The sequence below is a fragment of the Homo sapiens genome, chromosome 8, assembly GCF_000001405.40.
Source record: "Homo sapiens chromosome 8, GRCh38.p14 Primary Assembly".
NCBI lineage: Eukaryota > Metazoa > Chordata > Mammalia > Primates > Hominidae > Homo > Homo sapiens.
Window position 1 is genome coordinate 55864790 of NC_000008.11, and position 19327 is coordinate 55884116.

The 19327-nt window shown below is 45.2% G+C and overlaps 1 protein-coding gene across 3 annotated transcripts in view, besides 8 other annotated features; it reads left to right on the forward strand.

Annotated features, from left to right (window-relative positions):
* Positions 10243-10352: an enhancer, noted in NCBI's record as "active region_27380". NCBI's record gives its function as "activates an Ori minimal core promoter by ATAC-STARR-seq in GM12878 lymphoblastoid cells {active_cell/tissue: GM12878}" and the evidence as "EXISTENCE:reporter gene assay evidence [ECO:0000049][PMID:35858748]".
* Positions 14140-14229: an enhancer, noted in NCBI's record as "active region_27381". NCBI's record gives its function as "activates an Ori minimal core promoter by ATAC-STARR-seq in GM12878 lymphoblastoid cells {active_cell/tissue: GM12878}" and the evidence as "EXISTENCE:reporter gene assay evidence [ECO:0000049][PMID:35858748]".
* Positions 14790-14849: an enhancer, noted in NCBI's record as "active region_27382". NCBI's record gives its function as "activates an Ori minimal core promoter by ATAC-STARR-seq in GM12878 lymphoblastoid cells {active_cell/tissue: GM12878}" and the evidence as "EXISTENCE:reporter gene assay evidence [ECO:0000049][PMID:35858748]".
* Positions 15000-15059: a silencer, noted in NCBI's record as "silent region_19203". NCBI's record gives its function as "represses an Ori minimal core promoter by ATAC-STARR-seq in GM12878 lymphoblastoid cells {active_cell/tissue: GM12878}" and the evidence as "EXISTENCE:reporter gene assay evidence [ECO:0000049][PMID:35858748]".
* The window catches only part of LYN (LYN proto-oncogene, Src family tyrosine kinase), a 134335-nt gene continuing 130053 nt past the window's right edge, over positions 15046-19327 (forward strand). For all 3 annotated transcript variants that reach the window (NM_002350.4, NM_001111097.3, XM_011517529.4), the window contains exon 1: positions 15046-15314. The gene's annotated coding sequence lies outside the window, so the exon portion shown is untranslated. The remainder of the gene's footprint in view (positions 15315-19327) is intronic.
* Positions 15080-15249: a silencer, noted in NCBI's record as "silent region_19204". NCBI's record gives its function as "represses an Ori minimal core promoter by ATAC-STARR-seq in GM12878 lymphoblastoid cells {active_cell/tissue: GM12878}" and the evidence as "EXISTENCE:reporter gene assay evidence [ECO:0000049][PMID:35858748]".
* Positions 15330-15619: a silencer, noted in NCBI's record as "silent region_19205". NCBI's record gives its function as "represses an Ori minimal core promoter by ATAC-STARR-seq in GM12878 lymphoblastoid cells {active_cell/tissue: GM12878}" and the evidence as "EXISTENCE:reporter gene assay evidence [ECO:0000049][PMID:35858748]".
* Positions 15650-15829: a silencer, noted in NCBI's record as "silent region_19206". NCBI's record gives its function as "represses an Ori minimal core promoter by ATAC-STARR-seq in GM12878 lymphoblastoid cells {active_cell/tissue: GM12878}" and the evidence as "EXISTENCE:reporter gene assay evidence [ECO:0000049][PMID:35858748]".
* Positions 17029-17138: an enhancer, noted in NCBI's record as "active region_27383". NCBI's record gives its function as "activates an Ori minimal core promoter by ATAC-STARR-seq in GM12878 lymphoblastoid cells {active_cell/tissue: GM12878}" and the evidence as "EXISTENCE:reporter gene assay evidence [ECO:0000049][PMID:35858748]".

The window sequence follows — 19327 nt, forward strand, 5'->3', positions numbered from 1 at the left end:
CACTGTTGAAGGATACTATTTCTGATAAAATCCCCACAAACTAGATTTTTATTTTAGAGTACAAATCCTCTTTTTATTGATTTTTTGTTCATTTGTACTCTCCTCACCTCTCAGTCCCACTCTTTATTACTATTATTTTTGAGATAGAGTCTCACTCTGTCACCCAGAATGGAGTGCAGTGGCATGATCTTGGCTTATTGCAACCTCTGCCTCCTGGGTTCAAGCAATTCTCCTGCCTCAGCCTTCTGAGTAGCTGCAACTACAGGTGCGCACCACCACGCCTGGCTAATTTTTGTATTTTTAGTAGAGATGGGGTTTCACCATGTTGGCCAGGCTGGTCTCAAACTCCTAACCTCAGGTGATCTACCCGCCTTGGCTTCCCAAAGTGCTGGGATTACAGGAGTGAGCCACCGCATCTGGCCTCACACCCACTCTTGACATTGGTTTTGGCTATTACTTTTTGTTTTTAATGGGAAAATAGGTACTTCTCTAAAAAGCTAAAAGGTATATACTTTTGTTTTGGTAACATGCTATTTTACTCAGAGTTCTCATATCGATTTTGATATGATTTTCTGTTTCTTCCCAATAGAATGGTGAGAGAATCATCAGATAAATAGGCAACAGCTTACTGGGCTACCAGCCAAAATGGTAGAGGATTTGCAAGAATAGGACAAAAGTCAGCTAATATGTATAGAAAGAAGAAATAATTAACAAATTAATGAATTATTATTTTGGTTTTGCTTAAAGAATTAAATTTGTGGTTTCTTTAGCTAGTGATGATGATAGAGACTTAATAGTCTTAACAATTAGGTTTCACTTCACTTTCACAAGTGTTCTCAAATTTCTTAAGCATTTTATTTCATACCAGAAAGTTACATTCACCACTCTAATCCATAGGACAAAGGATGAATGCGTAATCAGTTCACTGTGATTAAACATTTGACTGTTGATATTAATATATTACACAAAGGCAATACATGAATTTGAGAATTATTTTTTCCTGACAATTACTGGCTGTGTGATATTTGGCAAGTTACTTCTCTGAGCTTTACTTCCTCATCTGCAACCTAGGAATTAACAATACCAATTACAAATCATTGTGTGAGAAGAAAATACAACAACATAGAGCAAGTATTGTGGTTGGCACGTAATGAGAAAAAGCAAGCATGTGGTAACTGGAGGATCATGAGCTCTGGGGTCAAAAAGGCATTGGTGGCTCACGCCTGTAAACCCAGCACTTTAGAAGGCCAAGGTGGCAGGACAGCTTGAGCCCAGGAGCTTGAGACCAGCCTGAGCAACATAGCAAGACCCTGCCTCTACAAAAATTAGCCATGCATGGTGGCACATGCATGTAGTCCTAGCTACTTAGGCACCTGAGCAGGAGGACTGCTTGAGCCAAGGAGTTGAAGGTTGCAGCAAACCAGTCATCATGCCACTGCACTCCAGCCTGTACAACAGGGCAAGATCCTGTGTCTCTTTCTTTTTTTTTTTTTTTTTTTTTTTTGAGACAGGGTCTCACTCTGTCACCCAGGCTGGAGTGCAGTGGCATGATCACAGCTCACTGCAGCCTCGCCCTCCCAGGCTCAAGTAGTTCTCCCACCTCAGCCTCCTGGGTAGCTGGACTGCAGGTGCACGCCAATATGCCTAGCTAATTTTTTGTATTTTTAGTAGAGACAGGGTTTCACCATGTTGCCAAGGCTGGGATCCTGTCACTTAAAAAAAAAAAAAAAATGCTGGCGTGGTGGCTCACGCCTCTAATCCCAGCACTTTGGGAGGCCGAGGCAGGTGGATCACGAGGTCAGGAGTTCGAGACCAGCCTGACCAATGTGCTGAAACCCTGTCTCTACTAAAATACAAAAATGAGCGAGGCATGGTGGCACACACCTGTAATCCCAGCTACTCGGGAGGCTGAGACAGGAGAATTGCTTGAATGCAGGAGGGGGAGGTTGCAGTGAGCCGAGATCTCACCATTGTACTCCAGCCTGGGTGACAGGGCGAGACTCCGTCTCAAAAAAAAAAAAAAAGGCTATATTCCATCCCAGAACAACAGATTTGCTAGTTTAATGATATCAGATGAGGATATTTTACATCTCTGCACCTCAGTTTCTTTATAGTGAGAAGAAACAAAAAATGAGCATGTGAAGCACCCAGTATCCACCTAGCTGTGGTGGCAGCTGCTGTGTTCCTTCTCCTGCACTTTCTTAGCTCTCTGATTCTCTAGCTATGACATTAAAGTGAAAAATGGCAACAAAACAACTATTTTTATTGGAAAGAAAAAAATAAGTTGTAGTATTATCATACAGAGATTATTTCAGTCTGTGAGAGGAACCACAGTATCCCCCCAAATAAATCATAGCTTCAAACAGATGAAGCTTATATTAAAAAGAGGTGACATCTAAGAGCTTTGTGTGGCAAATGCAGAATAATTATGTACAGAAAGGGTCTCTGATATTTGTAGCTTCCTTTTTTTCCTTTCCTTTCTTTCTTTCTTTCTTTTTCTTTTCTTTCTTTCTTTTTTTTTTTCTTCAGGGTCTTGCTCTGACACCCAGGCTAGAGTGCAGTGGTGTGACATCAGCTCACTGCAACCTCCACTTCCTGGACTCAAGTGATCCTCCCACCTCAGCCGCCCAAGTAGCTTGCACTACAGGCCTGTGCCACCACACCTGGCTAATTTTTCTATTTTTAGTAGACATGGGTTTTGCCATAGTGCCCAGGCTGGTCTTGAACTTCTGGGCTTAAGGGATCCTCCCACCTCGGCCTCCTGAGTACAAATACTGGGATTACAGACGTGAACCACACAGCCTGGCTGATATTTGTAGCTTTCACTTACTTCCATTTTATCACCAACCCTATAGCTAGTTATTAGCCATTCAACATTGTTTATGTTGGCTAGGCCACCGTTCGATTAGTACAATGCCAGGCATGCAAAATGTGTAAATTAATGAAAAAGCTGGAAACAATCCAATTTTCTGAAAACATGTAGTGTCTTGGAATTCTCTGCTTCTTGACAGAAGAGCTTTGCCAATTACTGCCTCGGACTTAAAACCTACTGCTCAGAAACTTAGTCTGAAGCCTCCAGCTATTTCCAATAGAGCCTTCTCAGGGGTCCCCATTTCTTATTCCTGTTTCCACACTTAAGTGACACATGTATCATCATACGTGGATGTATATGTGTATATCTATATATACATACATAGTACGGCCTCTTTAATTTATTTTAATACATTGTCCTAAAATTTGAATTTTTTCCCCTCAATCTGTGTTTAGCATAAGGTATTTGATTACTATAGCTTATTTGATTAGTTCTCAATCCTTTCCTGAACCCATCTCTCTGGGACACCTTTCTCTTAGGGTTGAAAACTGGGTACTGCCAAAGGGATAAGTTAAAATTGAAAAATACTCTCTTACAACAGTTTGCACTTTATCAGAAATGTGCCTTATTCAGCCATATATTTTAGCAGTATTCTAAGTTTTCAGGTTCAGATCACAAAATATTCTTCAAGGAACTTCAGAAGATTTCATATTAGTTTTCTAGTCCCTGTAAGATTTTCTTTTGTTTAGCATGGGTATCTAGTTGGAATGGCTCATAAAGGATGGTGGAGGTTTAAGTTTCTTCATCCTGGCAAGCTTCTTACCCCTTTTTTTGTATGCAGATGCCCCTCAAGTGTTTTTCCTTATTGAAAAGCAGCCTCCGAATTGGCCTAAGCAAAATTACTGCTTTACACTGCCCAGTTCATTGCTCCAGGGCATGGTGAATCATTTTCTTAGGTAAAATGCCCTGAACTGGCAACGAAAGTCCTCACACTCAGTGCTCCTCTAAGAAGTATAGCATTTGAGACCTGGAGGTTACTACAGATGCCATCCGGACCAACCCCACCTCTTAAAAATGAGCAAATCTGGGTTTCACAGATAATACATGGTGGAGCTAGGGCCAGCACTGACATCTTATAATTCCCATACAATATTCTTTTACTCAGAGAAAGGTTATTTTTGTGGCTAACTGACACCCTAGAGAACTTAGCCTTTAATCAATTTATAAAACCATAAAATTATTTTGTTTATAAAATTAATCTTTAATACATTGAAAAATGCATTCATCTAACAGACATTCACTGGACACCTTTGTGCCTGGCACCGAGCCAGGCACATGAATGTAAAGGTGGGCAAGGGTCTGTCCTCAACTTTAAAAGCTCAGGATCCTCTTGGATGTGCCTGTGAAACCCTGACTTGGGATGTGGCCATGTGCATGTGCATGTGAGATAAAGAGATGACAGATGAGGTGGCTCATCTTTGAACGATGGCACAGAGACTGTTGGGAAGCACCCTGGTTCTGGCTCAGGAGGCCTGAATTGAGGCGCAGCCCCTCACTCACCAGCTATGTGACCTTGAGCAAGTCTTATCATTTTATCCGTAAAATGAGGTACAGAGTAGCCACACTGGTATGGCTTTGAGGATTAAATGACATACATGTAATGCCCCTTGGATGATACCTATCACACAATAAATGTTAGTTACTTTCTCCCTTGTTGAAAAACTGGGTGGAAATCACATCCACCCTCTCGGCCTTGTAGATTTATCAAAATTATTGAAATTATACATTCTAAAATAATTTGTAAAATATTAGTCTCTTTTACCCCAATATTATTACAACCACCATCTTACTCCTTGTTTCTTTCCAGCCCAAGCATTCCAACCACTTAAACAAAATCCATCTGTGTGGCCCCAACTAGCCTTAAAGCCCACCAAGACCAGAAAAATAAGAGGTAGGAGTTTAAACCAAGTCAGAAGTTGTGTTTCTATGTTCCTGACCGTATCTCTATTGGTCCAGTCAATTTTTCATTTACTAAGCTCCAACACAGATTACATAGTAATTGAATTTCATCATCAGTCTACTTTTGTCAAGATTTTATTTTTGTTTTATTTCTCAGGGAGCTTATTCAAAGATTGGCCTATATTTATAATAAAAATACATTTAGCATTAAGTACAATACTTTTGTACTATGTTGAACCATGTACATTTGCCAATGTTCAATTATTTTTAACCTGTAAAAATGACAGTTGTGGTGCTTGCCCTGAGCCGAATGAGCTCAGTCCCTGAGGCATGTCATGGAAGCTCTTGGAATCTCAGGTTCTCGTGCCCAACCATAGAAGCTGGCACGAATGTGTTCCATTCCTGGAGCTTACAAGAAGAACACTGACCCCATTCCCTACATCATAAAAGGCCCTGCTCTGCGTAGGCCCTCCTGTCAGGAGAGAAGTCTGTGGATTTGTGTTCTTCTGGAGCTCATGAACCTTCCCAGGCCATGCTCTATGCACCACAAACCCCAAAGTCCCTGCCCATGTGTTCATGGGCAGACCAGGTATTTTGTAGATGAGATTAACATTTAATTCAGTAAATATTAAGCAAGGCAGATTACCCTGCATAACGTGCGTGGGTACAATCCAATCAGCTAAAGGTTTTAAGAGAAAAAGACTGAGGTTCTGTGAAGAAGAGGGAATTCCGTCAGTAGACTGCCTCTGAACTTGAGTTGCCACATCAACTCAGCCTTGGGTCTCCAGCGTGCTAGCTTGCCTGGTAGATTCCAGACTCACTACCCCCAAAATCACATGAGTCAATTCCTTAGAATAAATCTCTCTCTTCTGAATAGAGATATCTCCTATGGATTCTGTTTCTCTGGAGAGCCTTGACCAATAAAAAGGTACATTTAAGGCTGGGGGCAGTGGCTCATGCCTGTAATCCCAGCACTTTGGGAGGCCAAGGCAGGCAGATCACTTGAGCCCAGGAGATGCAGACTAGCCTGGGCAACATGGTGAAACCCAGTTTCTGCAAAAAATACAAAAATTAGCTGGGCCTAGTGATGTGTGACATGCACCTGTAGTCCCAGCTACTTGGGAGGCTGAGGTGGGAGAATCACTTAAGCCCAGGAGGTTGAGGCCGCAGTGAGCAGTGATTGCACCACTGTACTCCAGCCTGGGCAATGGGCGTGAGACTCCATCTCAAAAAAAAAAAAAAAAAAAAAGGGTACATTTGTCCAAGTAGAAGGATAGACCATATTTTATTTAATACTTTGTCACTTGAAGGCCAGGTGCGATGGCTCATGCCTGTACCCAGCATTTTGGGAGGCCGAGGCAGGTGGATAACCTGAGGTCAGGAGTTCAAGGTCAGCCTGGTCAACATGGTGAAACCCTGTCTCTACTAAAAATACAAAAATTAGCAGGACATGGTGGCAGGCGCCTGTAATCCCAGCTACTCGGGAGGCTGAGGCAGGAGAATCGGACCCAGGAGGTGGAGGTTGCAGTGAGCTGAGATCATGCAAGAGTGAAACTCCGTCTCACAAAACAAAACAAAACAAACAAACAACAACAACAAAACCTTTGCCACTTGATATACACAGATGAGACACATGGTACTTGGACCTCCATTTTTACTCTCAACAAATCGCCCCGCAAGTATTAGGGTTGAGCCTGAATATTTCCACAGTTCCCACTTTATGGAATACACAGGACGTATGTATGAGTGCTCTCAAGGTAGCTAACATCCCAGAAAGCTCCAGAAGAATCTGTACAATGGAAGGAGATGAGGAGAGGGAGTGTGGCAGCACAGCAGAAAGGCCATAGGCCTGGCCAGCTAAGCCCACAGTCAGATCTTGACTCGATCACTCACTAGCTGTGAGTAACCTGTGTGATCTCGGAAAACTTTCTTAACCCTTCTGTGACTCAGTTGCATTGAAAGTAAGACAGGGTTAATAGCATGTTCCTCAAAGATTACTGTGAGAATTATGTGTGTGTATAAAATGTACAGAAGTGACTTGCCCAGCCCGTGAGGCAGATTGAAGACTCAATCACCATTAGGTTTTTCACCACAAACCAAGCAAAATATTGCCTCTCTGGGTTCCGACACAGTAGGCGTTTCCCCTTACACCATACTAACCTTTCATTTAGCAAACTCGCTCTGAGTACCTTCTGCTTACGTGCACTGCACTTAATGCTTAGGGTAACAAACAATAATAAAAATGAAACCAAACAGACAGGCCCAGATCCTCATTCAGGAGTTCACCATCTGGTATTAAGAACTCTGTGTAGATAAATAACAATACTAGAATAAAGGTATAAACTGACAAGTGTCAACAAGAACTAGACATCACTTTCCATGGGATTTCTTTCTTTCTTTTTTTTTTTTTTGGAGTCAGAGTCTCGCTCTGTCACCCAGGCTGGAGTGCAGTGACATGATCTTGGCTCACTGCAACCTCCGCCTCCTGGGTTCAAGTGATTCTCCTGCCTCAGCCTCCTGAGTAGCCCTCCTGAGTGGCTGGGATTACAGGCATGCACCACCAAGCCCAACTAAATTTTGTATTTTTTGGTAGAGACGGAGTTTCACCATGTTGGCCAGACTGGTCTCGAACTCCTGACCTCAAGTGATCCACCTGCCTCAGCCTCCCAAAGTGGTGGGATTATAGGTGTGAGCCACAGCGCCTGGCCTTTTGTATTTTTTGTAGAGATGGAGTTTCACCATATTGCCCAGGCTGGTCTCCAATTCCTGAGCTCAAGGAATCCTCCTGCCTCTGCCTCCCGAAGTGCTGAGATTACAGGTGTAAGTCATTGTGCCTGACCTTTCTGTGGGATTTCAAGGAAGGAAGAGATATGCTGTGTCTGCTGAAGGCCTCCTTGGTGAGGTGGCATTTACACTGTCCTTGAAAGATGGGTAAGACCCAGCTGTGTGAGGATGGAGGTCAAGAAAGGCAGTGAGTGAAAACAAAGGCATAAAGGTGTCTGTCGTTGTGGCCGGAGCCACCCCAAAATACTCTCAATATCGTGTATACTCATAGTATTAGCCAACCTCCTACTCCTGCTTCCACCTCCTCCTCCACCTCATGCCATCACTTTTCTCCTTAGATTGGGAACACTGGGCCACTTGGCTACCTTCCCAGCACCTGTGTGAGCTAGATGTGGGTCATTTTATAGATGAGCAAACAGAGTCCTGTTGAGTAGTTTTTCCAGTAATCACAGGTACAGAAAGAACCTCTTCTGACATCCTTGGGTCATGTAAGCAAGCAATTCAGGTTCAAAATCATATGAGTTCAGTCAAAACTCTCCTGCTGGGTTGGAAGGTAAATGAATACAGCTCCCTTTCTGACTTTATGAGTGCAAGTTTTTCCACTTGTAACTTTGCATCCTGTCCACAATCTGATTTGAAGAATCCCTAACTAAGAACCAAATACCATATGTCATAGGACAGTTGTATTTTTTAGGATAGTGGTATTCTTGGAGCTTAAGAATAACTAATCGAGATAAACAGGACTTCCGTGGGACAGACACACATAAACCATTCAGATCAACGAAAGGACGTGCCCGGAGTCAGAGAAAACCGTAGCCTACCCTGGGATGAGCTTTACTTTGTAGAGTGTGGCTGAGATTTTACTGAGTCACCTGGAGCAATGCTCTGCATTTTCTGGACTTTTCTGGAGGTGGAAGTAAGGAATGGAAAGTGACTATAATGAAGCCATCAAGGTGTCCTTAGCACTGTTGCTGGGCACATGCTATCACTAGCTTATGGGTCTGGGAAAACCAGCCAATGAGGTTCATATTAAAGCATACCTACACCTCTTTACCCATAATTCAAGCTGTCTTACGGGGTATGAACATCCAGCATTTCTGAATTTAGTTTGGGGTGACGGTGAAGTAACAACCAGCTTGGTGGCTCTGAGAGGTCCTATTGATTTCTGTGAAATATCTCTTGTCTTACAGCAATGCTGGCCACATACAAGAAGTGGTAATAACTACATCATACTATGAGGCTTGAGCACTAGGAGGGATTCAGCCAATGCCACCTGCCAAGCCAAAAACTAGAAGCAGCATTTGAAGCTGCGTTTATTCAAAGGCAACATAGATAGACAGGCCGGGTGCAGTGGCGCATACCTGTAGTCCCAGCATTTTGGGAGGCCAAGACAGGTGGCTCATTTAAGGTCAGGAGTTAGAGACCAGCCTGGCCAACATGGTGAAACCCCATCTCTACTAAAAATACAAAAATTAGCTGTGTATGGTGGTGCATGCCTGTAATCCCAGCTACTCTGAGGCTGAGGCTGTAGAGTCACTTGAGCCTGAGAGGTGAGGTGAGGGTTACAGAGAACCAAGAGCACTCCCCACTGAGTAACAGAGTGAGACTCCATCTCAAAAACAAAAAAAACACACACAAAAAAACCCATAGACAGAAACTGAACATCCAAGATGGCCACCAAACCAGACGCATACATACATGAAAACAACATAACATCAAACAAGGCAGACAATGTTACCAGAACATAAAATCATTATTAGTATTACACAAACATCCTCATCTGGCTCCATCACCATCTGATGGCTGTTACCAAACTGTTTTTGTAGAATTGAATATGGGACCCCATCTTGTTCCTGGCACACAGGGGGTGATGAGTGAATGGAAACATAGTCTGGCTCACATGGCCAAGGAATAAATGGGAGGCAATGGCCTTGACTGGGCCCTGAAGGGTCCCCGATGGTTCATCATGAAAGGTTACTTTGGACAAGCTCCATCCCCACAGAGTGATGTAAAGCTCAATGAAGGAGGCTGGGTTTGCTGTCATACTGGGAAAGGAGTGCAGGCACCCACATTTGTCACTTCCATGCTCACGATTTAAACTATTTCACTGTCAGCCAGATGCAGTGGCTCACACTTGTAATCCCAACACTTTGGGAGGCCAAGGCGGGCAGATCACCTGAGGTCAGGAGTTCGAGACCAGCCTGGCCAACATTGTGAAACCCTGTCTCTACTAAAGATACAAAATTAGCCAAGAATGGTGGTGCGCACCTGTAATCCCAGCTACTCGGGAGGCTGAGGCAGGAGAATTGCTTGAACCTGGGAGGCAGAAGTTGCAGTGAGCTGAGATCATGCCATTGCACTCTAGCCTGGGCAAAAAGAGTGAAACTCCATCTCAAAAAATAATAATTGTAATCCCAGCACTTTGGGAGGCCAAGGCAGGCGGGTCACAAAGTCCGGAGTTAGAGACCATCTTGGCTAACACGGTGAAACCCTGTCTCTACTAAAAATACAAAAAAATTGCCTGGGCGTGGTGGCACACGCCTGTAATCCCAGGTACTTGGGAGGCTGAGGCAGGAGAATCCCTTGAACCCGGGAGGTGGAGGTTGCAGTGAGCCAAGAGGGTGCCATTGCACTCCAGCCCGGGTGACACAGTGAGACTCCATCTCAAAAAATAAATAAACACACACACACACAAAACTATTTTGCTGTGATGCCTATGCCAGTGGCCAAGGCAGCAGCACATCAGCGAGCACAGTTCCAGGAGATCTGCTGGTGCCAGGTGGCAGTGATGCATGACATTCCTGCCCACTCTCAGCTGTCTTACGGTGTATGAACATTCAGCTTTTCTGAATTTAGTTTAGGGTGATGATGAAACAACGGCTAGCTTGGTGGCTCTGAGAGGTCTCTATTCACATCAATAGCTGTGTCTTCTGCTTGACAGCTGGTCCCAGGTGCAGCTTTCAGCAAATCCATCACCTGGGTATATGATCTGGGACAAAAATACACTTAGCTCCTTCATGGAGATTGACAGTGACATCACTGTGCTACAAGGAGCTTTGTGAGACTGGGTTCAGCTCAAAAAGTTGCCAAACCTACTTGACCATAAATACTTTCTCCATGTCAGACCTGTTTTTTTTTTTTTTTTTTTTTGAGACGGAGGCTCACTCTATCACCCAGGCTGGAGTGCAGTGGTGCGATCTCTGCTCACTGCAAGCTCTGCCTCCCGGGTTCACGCCATTCTCCTGCCTCAGCCTCCCGAGTAGTTGGGACTACAGGTGCCCATCACCATGCCCGGCTAATTTTTTTTTATATTTTTAGTAGAGATGGGGTTTCACTGTGTTAGCCAGGATGGTCTCGATCTCCTGACCTCGTGATCTGCCCGCCTCGGCCTCCCAAAGTGCTGGGATTACAGGCGTGAGCCACTGTGCCTGGCCTGTAATACCGGTTAACATTGGATAAGTATTTAAGAAAAAATCTACCTTGTGGCAATTTATGTATAAATAATATTTCATATAGTTGTTAAAATTTTTTTGTAGCCTAAAATAATTCTTAGCAATTTTTGTTTTTCTTTATTAATTCCTTGTATCTATAATCACTTGTGCTAAAGTCACCCATTTTCCCCAGTAATACAGGTTTAATATTCTCAATCCTTACCACTTTACCCTCACACAGAGGCATATATCCATGCTACTTTTTTTTTTTTTTTTTTTTTTTGAGACCGAGTCTCACTCTGTTGTCCAGGCTGGAGTGCAGTGGCGTGATCTTGGCTCACTGCAACCTCCACCTCCTGGGTTCAAGCAATTCTCTTGCCTCAGCCTCCCGAGTAACTAGGACTACAGGTGTGAGCCACCACACCCAGCTAATTTTTGTATTTTTAGTAGAGACAGGGTTTCACCATGTTGGCCAGGCTGGTCTCAAACTCCTGATCTCAGGTGATCCACCCACGTCAGCCTCCCAAAGTGCTGGGATTATAGGTTTGAGCCACTGCCCCTGGCCACATGCTACTCTCTTAAAGACAGAGGACCTGGGGGCATGAGGGCTTGAGGAAGGTGGACGTTGTTCAGAGAGGTGAGCTCCAGGCTAGGGGAGGGCGGAGCACACTCCACCAGTGGTTCCCAAACTTGGCTGCTCATTGGAACCACCTGGCAAGGTTTTCAGTCTCTGATAATTGGGGTTCCCCTCACCATCCCCATCCCCCAAAGACTTTGATTTAACTGGTCTAGGTAGGGCCTGGGCATGGAGATATTTTAGCAGCTCAGGTGATTCTAATGTGCCCCCAGGGTTGAGCACCACTACTCTGTATTATTTGCTACTTGGTAGTTAGGTCTGTGGCCAAGTTGGCAAGAGTTAGGTGGAAGAATACTAGAAGAGGCAGCAGGGGCAGCCCACACAGTGGCAGTGGGATGGGTTGCAGCACAGATGATTTGGTGGACCAACATGAACAGGTGAGCAGCATGACCAATCCTGGCCTCAAGCACCATGACCACGCATGAGATGATGATGGCGGTGCTAATGAAGAAGTTCCTAGAGGTCAGATATTTCATTTTCCCACAGTGGATGATGGGATGCTCTTGTATGCTGCGTCCCATTATTTGTGGTAGTTATGTTCTATAGTCACTGTGAACACTGAATTAGCGAATACCGAGTCACTGCTTCTTAGGTTCCTGTGAGTCTCTGGACACAACATTTTCATTACATTATGATTAATACATAACCTTATATGGTGTGTGTTTCTGTTTAATGGACACCTTATTTAATATATGGCTGATTCATTACATTGAGTTCACAACCAATAGCACAGTAGCTCCTGCCTGCAGGACGGTTCTCCAGTGGGCACGCCACAGCCTCTGGTGCTTAGCAACAACAGACAGCACTTTAGCAAGCTCTACGCTTCGGGCCATTTATTTTTATTTTTATTTTTTTTAATTTTTTTATTGTGGGGGGGGTCTCACGATATTGCCTAGGATGGTCTTGAACTCCTGAGCTCGAGCAATCCTCCCACCTCGGCCTCCCAAAGTGCTGGGATTACAGGCATGAGCCACTGAGCTCAGTCGCTTGGGGGCCATTTTAAACAGCAAAATCACCAACAAAAAGCACAGAAGTGTGGAAAGCATAAACTAAATGGACAGCAAAAAGAATACAAGAAGGCAGAGCATCGCCTTGTTCCACTATAGCTGGGAGGGTGTGCGTGGGGCAACTCAAGATTTTTACTGCTCTGGGATGTGCATATCTATGAGTGACTGGGAAAACACCTCAAGTATTGATTTTGAGATTACAAATACATTTTAGCAAGTAGATAAGTTCACAAATATGATATCTGCAAAAATGAGGATACACTGTACATAACGTATTTACAATACCGCCTTCTCTTGCCCCGCCCATCGTATTCCTTCCTTTCTTCAAAGGCCCATCTATCCTGTCAAGGAGCCTTAATTGATTTGCACCCTGCCTCTGATCACTGCCTTCTGTGCTCAATTTAGAGAAAACTGGTGAGATAAATCAGTCATCAATCAATTAACCAATCAATCAATACTAATGAACTATTTTAAAGCACCCAACATAATTTCTGGGAGGTAGAGTGGGGAATAGATAAATATAAAAGGCAGTGCCTTCCCAAAAGGAGTTTACCAGTAGTTGAGGAGACAAGCCTAACATGGGCAAACAATGCTAAAAAGTACCTAGGTCTAGTTTAAAATAATGTTGCACACCATACATGCTACAGATGCTTTAAAAAGTTGCCTATCAATAGGAGCTTTAAATAAAACTTTCCTGAGAAATAGAACTTTCATGGGACATTAAGAAGGAAAGACAGATATGGAGAATGATTGAATGAAGTATTCAGCAAGTATAAATGCAGCCTAAGAAGTGGAAATTAGCATCGTATCGTTTTTTTCCAAATAAGAATGAAGAGATGAACTTAGTGAGGACAATTTTGTGAGGAGTTAGGGAGTTGGGGATCTGGTTGCAAGCTCAGGTAAGCCTGATGATGCTTTGTTCCTTACCCTGAGAGACATTTTACCAAAAACACTGACAGACATTCCTGATAGATTAACCAATACCAAACGTTTTTGAATCCTATTCTTATTTGCCACACACGTTTAGTCAGGATCTCAAGGATTCATCAGTAGCAGCAGAAACTTTAATGTAGGGTTAATATATTTGAGAGGTCATTCTTAAGAAAAGTCTAGGCAATAGGCCCTCAGGTAGTGAATTATTCTGTAGGATTCATTGTTTTTTGTTTCATTTTGTTTTGTTTTGTTCTTTTTTCATTTTTCTATTTTTCTCCATAGGATTCTTGATAGGTTTCAATCACACACCTTCCCATGGGTATTTCCATGGGCAACCCACCCCTTCTCTTCAGCAGTAAACTAACAACTACATACCAGTGAACATCACAGGTATAAACCACCTTTCTTCTTTTAAGGAATTAGTATGCAAACTTTAGTACTCTTTTCCTAGTAACAAATAACTGCTGTATCAGATTGTGTCACAAGGCAGCTGCTTTGACTTATTGCTCTGTAGCTGGGGTCAGCCTCTTCAGAACATTGTTAATGAGAGAAAGGAAGTGCTTTGGGCAGTGTCTGGCCCATCAGGCCCTCTGTAAATGTTTGCTATTAATGCAATGCTGAGATCCCAGTGAACAGAATCTGGCTTAGAAGAAGTGGGTATCCACGGTGCCCGAGCCTAATCTTACATCTTGGATTTGTAAGTGGCATTTATTGAGTTGAACATGAGCTTGAGCACGCGGTCACACATTCTTTCAGCAAACACTGGTTAGGCACCAGCTGCTACGTGCAAGCACTGCCCTACATGCTGGGACGCAGCTGTAGTAGGAATGAAATAACGCCAGCATTCCTGCATGCGGGCAGTGCGGGCCCTGTACAGAAAGGTACACGAGATAGGCATCCTCACATCCATTGTCCTGGGAGGAAACTGAGGCTTTGAGAAACGGAGAACTTGCCGGGCCATTTGACTCTACGTCATCCCCTCCCCCATCAATGCCCTGAACAGCCTCCTGTACACCCTTAAGGAACTTACTTTGTAATGATTATTAAGAACTCAGCGAGACCCCGAGCATCACCTCGGCATATCGCATCCTTTCTCTAGAGAACCCCTAATGTTGGAAGGGATCAGAGCGCACCTCCTCCGCTCCTGGGAGCACCCCCTTCCTAATAATACCTTGGGGATGGGTCGGAAGGAAAGGAAAGGAGACGCGAGAGGTGTAGTCGATGTGCCTGCGAAGCCCAGGCTCCTCTGGAGATCCTTCCGTCCGTCCCTACAGGAGAAGGCTGGCCCGGGCTGCTCCACTCCCCGGAGCTGCAGACTGAGTCGCCAGGTTTCTGTGCCTTCAAAGCCCTGCGCGACGGCCACACCAAACACCCAAACCTTGGGCAGGGACCAAACGGTCACTTCCCCGCCCTCCGGGCTCAATATGCAAATCCGAGCACCAGGAAGTAGCTGGGACCTCTCGGCCGAGCCCAGAGACAGCCAGTTCCTCTCCCGCCGCGCCGGGCCGCGCTGCCGCTCGCTCCCCGGCCGTGGCGCCTCCGGGCCAGACGCGCTGCAGCCTCCAGCCCGCGGCAAGCGGGGCGGCCGCGCCACCCCCGGCCCCGCGCCAGCAGCCCCTCGCCGCGCGTCCAGCGTTCCCGGCCAGCAGCCTCCCCATACGCAGGTCCTGCTGGGCCGCCCCGTCGCGCCCCCCACTCTGAACTCAAGTCACCGTGGAGCTCCGCCGCCCCGAAACTTTCACCGCGAGCGGGTGAGTCCTCTGCGCGAGCCCAGGGGTGGGCGCGGGCACGCGGGCAGTGGGTGCAGGGGCCGCGGCTGTGCCACCAGCCGGAGTCCCGGGCGCAGGGTAGACTCGGGGCCGGGGGCATCGGCGCGGCCCGCGGCGGCTTCCTGGCCGCACCGCCTCTGGGCTCCGGCGGCGAAGGCTCTTAGATGTCTTCAGCCGACGGGTGACCGGGCCCGGGGGAGCCAGGGCGCGGGGACTGAGGCTCCGCAGGTGTCCGCCGCGGAGCCGCGCAGGGGAGCGGTGGGAGGTGCGGGCGCGGGGGCGGGCTCACCGCGTGTCCTTCCCGGTGAGGGCCCGAGGGCCGGCTGCTGTCCCTGCTCCGGCCGCTTCTCGCACACAGTGGGGAAGCCGCTGCCCTTGCGGAGCGGGCGCGCGGCGGGGATACTGGAGAGGACTCCTCGGATTGTGCAATCTGATCTCCCCTCTGGACCCTGGGTCTCCTGGCAGTGGGAGATGGGGCTCGGCCGGCGCCCTCTCGAGGCCCGCGGACAGTTGCCCTCCCTGGTGGCCCCGGGCAGGAGCGTGACGTCGAGGGGCTGCAGCGGAGGCTGGAACTCACCCTCCCGCTGCGGCGCCTCTCGGCCTGCCGAGGAGCAGTCCGGTGCTTTTGCCGGCTGAGAGGAAGCGAGAGTTATTTTAAGAATTCAGGGGTTGCCTTTCCTTCGCCTTGGGGGAAGGGCGTAAGAGTCAGTTCCCACTTTCCTGCATTCTCTGGGCCCATGGTGGCATCTTTTGCTTGCGGTGCATTCGTAACTTTCCAACAGCCTGCCTGTCATGTGGATTAGCGGTTGTGTTTTTGTATATCCGAGTGTGTTAATTATCCCAAATTCGCCCTTCTTCGCCAGCTCAGAATCTAGGCCTTGCACTTTTCTGGCTGTATATTTAGGGGACCGATTATTGAAATTCCCTGTTTGAGTTTCTTCATCTTTGAGAGAGCATATATACCTCAGGGGCTGTTTAGTACACACAAAGCCCCTAGTACGTACCAAGCATTTCATAAACGATGTTACTGTTATTTATTGCAGTGAATTCTATTCATATAAATGAGGCTTCTTGGTTCTTTGCAGCTTGGTGATGTTGAAGCTAAGACTACCATGTCAGATTTAGCCATCTGACCTTATTAGTAAATCTGCTTAATAAATACATGAGGGATTTGCTGTCCCAAAGCAGGGCCCAGTAGTCTGACTTTCCCTAAAGAACTAGCCAATAAACTGGTGGGCTACAGGGATGTTTTCTCTGTACAGCCAACACCTAAAGCCATGCCCTGGGGAATAGGCACTGCAAGAACCCAGGCCTTACTAAGCCCTTCTCTGTAAGAGTAAGCTTTGTTGGGAAAGGGTGGGATCCAGTTAGTCCCTCCATTCTCATTTGGAGGTAAGCAGGTAAGCGCTTTGAGGCCTGAATAAATTTCACTGGATCATAGAGTCTTTGGTGACTGGGCCTCTTTGGATGTAAATGTGTGGCCCTTTTGCTGAGTGAAGGATAGAGGGCAGCAGATGTAAGGGGAGAGAAAGTAGGAGCCAGGAACCTTGAGTTTTGGCCTCTTCCATCATTTAATATGCTGTGATTTGGGATAAGCCACTTGGGCCATTTATTCAGCCAAGATTTCCTTTATAGCAGCAGCCAGAGTTATATTGATTTGTCTGCAGGTTGATAGTCTGTATTAACCATTACAGTGGAAGCTCCATGAAAACTGCTTCATCTGTCTTGTCCAAAATGATAGCCCCAGTGCCTGGTACATAGTAGGTGCTCAGTTCGAGATTACTTGGAAGAAGGAATGAAGGCCTCCTGTGAGCTTGCCCTATGCAAAACTGAGGACATAGGGAGATGAAGAAATAGAGCTGGTCCCTAAGGTGTTTGAAGCCTACTGGCCCTTTCTGTTGTGGTTTCTAAAACGGGGATTTGAGAGGCTTTGTTGACTGTAAAGTTACCCAGCACTGAGTTACCCACATTTAGTGTGGGTAACTAAATGAGAGTCTCCACTCAGCACCGCTCTTCTCTACTTATTACTGGAAGAGAGGTCCTGATGTGGGGTGGTTAAGATGTTTCCTGCAAAGGTAGTTGGCCCAATCCAGAAGACCTACATTATTTTAGAGTCATTGGTGTTACAAAGGTAGGTCGAAACTTTGTAATCCCGCCCCTGCCCTCCAATAGCTTTCTTTTAGCAGAAAAGTGGTCCAGCACTGTTCAATGACTTTGAAAGCCTTTTACTTCTATCTGCAATATTTGTTTTTAGATAAATCACCAAAAACATCTGAGATTCCAGTTGGTTCACATGACTATGTGGAGTTGTAACTTAACAAAATTAAATCATATTATTCATGTACAAACCCATACTAACTTTATAAATAAGGACACCATGTATACATGCCCACAGCAGGGAACATTGTTATAAGCTCACTCCTACTGATGATCTCAGTGATGCATGGATGAGTGTTAACATTGAAAGGCCACCACAATCATTAGTCAGGACATTGATCAATGTCACATTGATAGCAGAGATAGCCTCAGACCTTTACTGGCTCTTCCTAGTGATGATGGTGAAGGTGTTAGCACCTTTCATTTGTTCAGGGCTCTGAAGTCTTCCTGAACTCTAATTTCATTTGAACCTCTTGTGGCTCCTATAGGATGGAGAGGGACAGATACAGAAAAAGATTCAGGGGGTTGTCTAAGGTCACAGGCTTGGTTAAGCGGTACCATTAGGAGTAGTAGGTATGTTTTTTGGCTCTTTCTACTTGTCCACCTTTGGACTTGTAGTGTGTGCTCAATTACAAATGCCTCTCAACTTATGATGAGGCTGTGTCCCAATAAACCCAATCGTAAGTTGAAAATACTGAAAGTAGAAGATGCATTTAATACACTTAACCTACTAAACATTATAGATTAGCCTAACCTACCTTAAACATGGTCGAAACACTCACATTAGCCTACTGTTGGACAAAATCATCTGACACAAAGCCCATTTGATAATAAAGTGTTGAATAGCTCATGTAATTTATTGAATACTGTATTAAAAGTGAAAAATGAAATGGTTGTATGGGTACTTGAAGTACAGTTTTTATTGAATGCCTAATGCTTTTGCACCATCGTAAAGTTGAAAAATCATTAAGTTGCAGACCATCTGTGCTTAAAAGCAAATAAATAGGTCATTTAACAAACATTTTAAAAGTGAAATCATGAGTTAATTTTCTTTTATCACTTGGTAATTGTCTGAACTAAGTGGCTAACTGCTCAGGACATAGCAGATGCACCATCAAGCTGGGCACTTCAAGCTGTCTTCTAGAAATGAATTTCTGTGCTTTTTAGCACTGCTTTTTGCTTGGGGGTGGGAAAGGGTGGTCTCCAGTAACTGCTAAGATGACACCTATACTGGCTGCTGTCCGAGCAGCCCTAGTGACTGTCTTGGGGGCAATCAGTTGCTTAATGGTTAATACAGAAGTACCTGAGTAATACTTTGCAAAAGGACTTTCCCCGACCTGTGCTGGGAGTGTCTCCCTGTAAACTTTGCCAACCTCCTGGTTGTTTTATCAGTGAGAGCATCATTTAAGTGAAAATATAAATTAAGGAGACAGGGCTCATAGGACGCACATTAAAACACCTGATCATTTTGAGCACCTGCTGTGTGCAAGGCACTGTTCTAGGCCAACAGTATAGATATACATTGCCTCCCATCTTTTAAGGCTGATAATGAAGAGAAGAACATGGAAGAGGAAGTTGTTGGGTTTTTTTTTTCCAGTCAGAAATACTGAAAGATTTCTTACAGCTGTCTGGTTTCCTGATACTTAAATTGTGAAACTTTAAGTTCACTCCATTATCATTTCTAAAATTTATTTTGAATAAGTTCCCTTTCGGGGGAGATACCCATGTGTAGAGAATGGTATGGAAATCTGCCAATGGAGGGATTAGAAATTTTGTCAGTTTAAAGACTTGGACCTTTTGAGATTTTTGTTGTTGTTGTTTTGTTTGTTCTTCTTTTC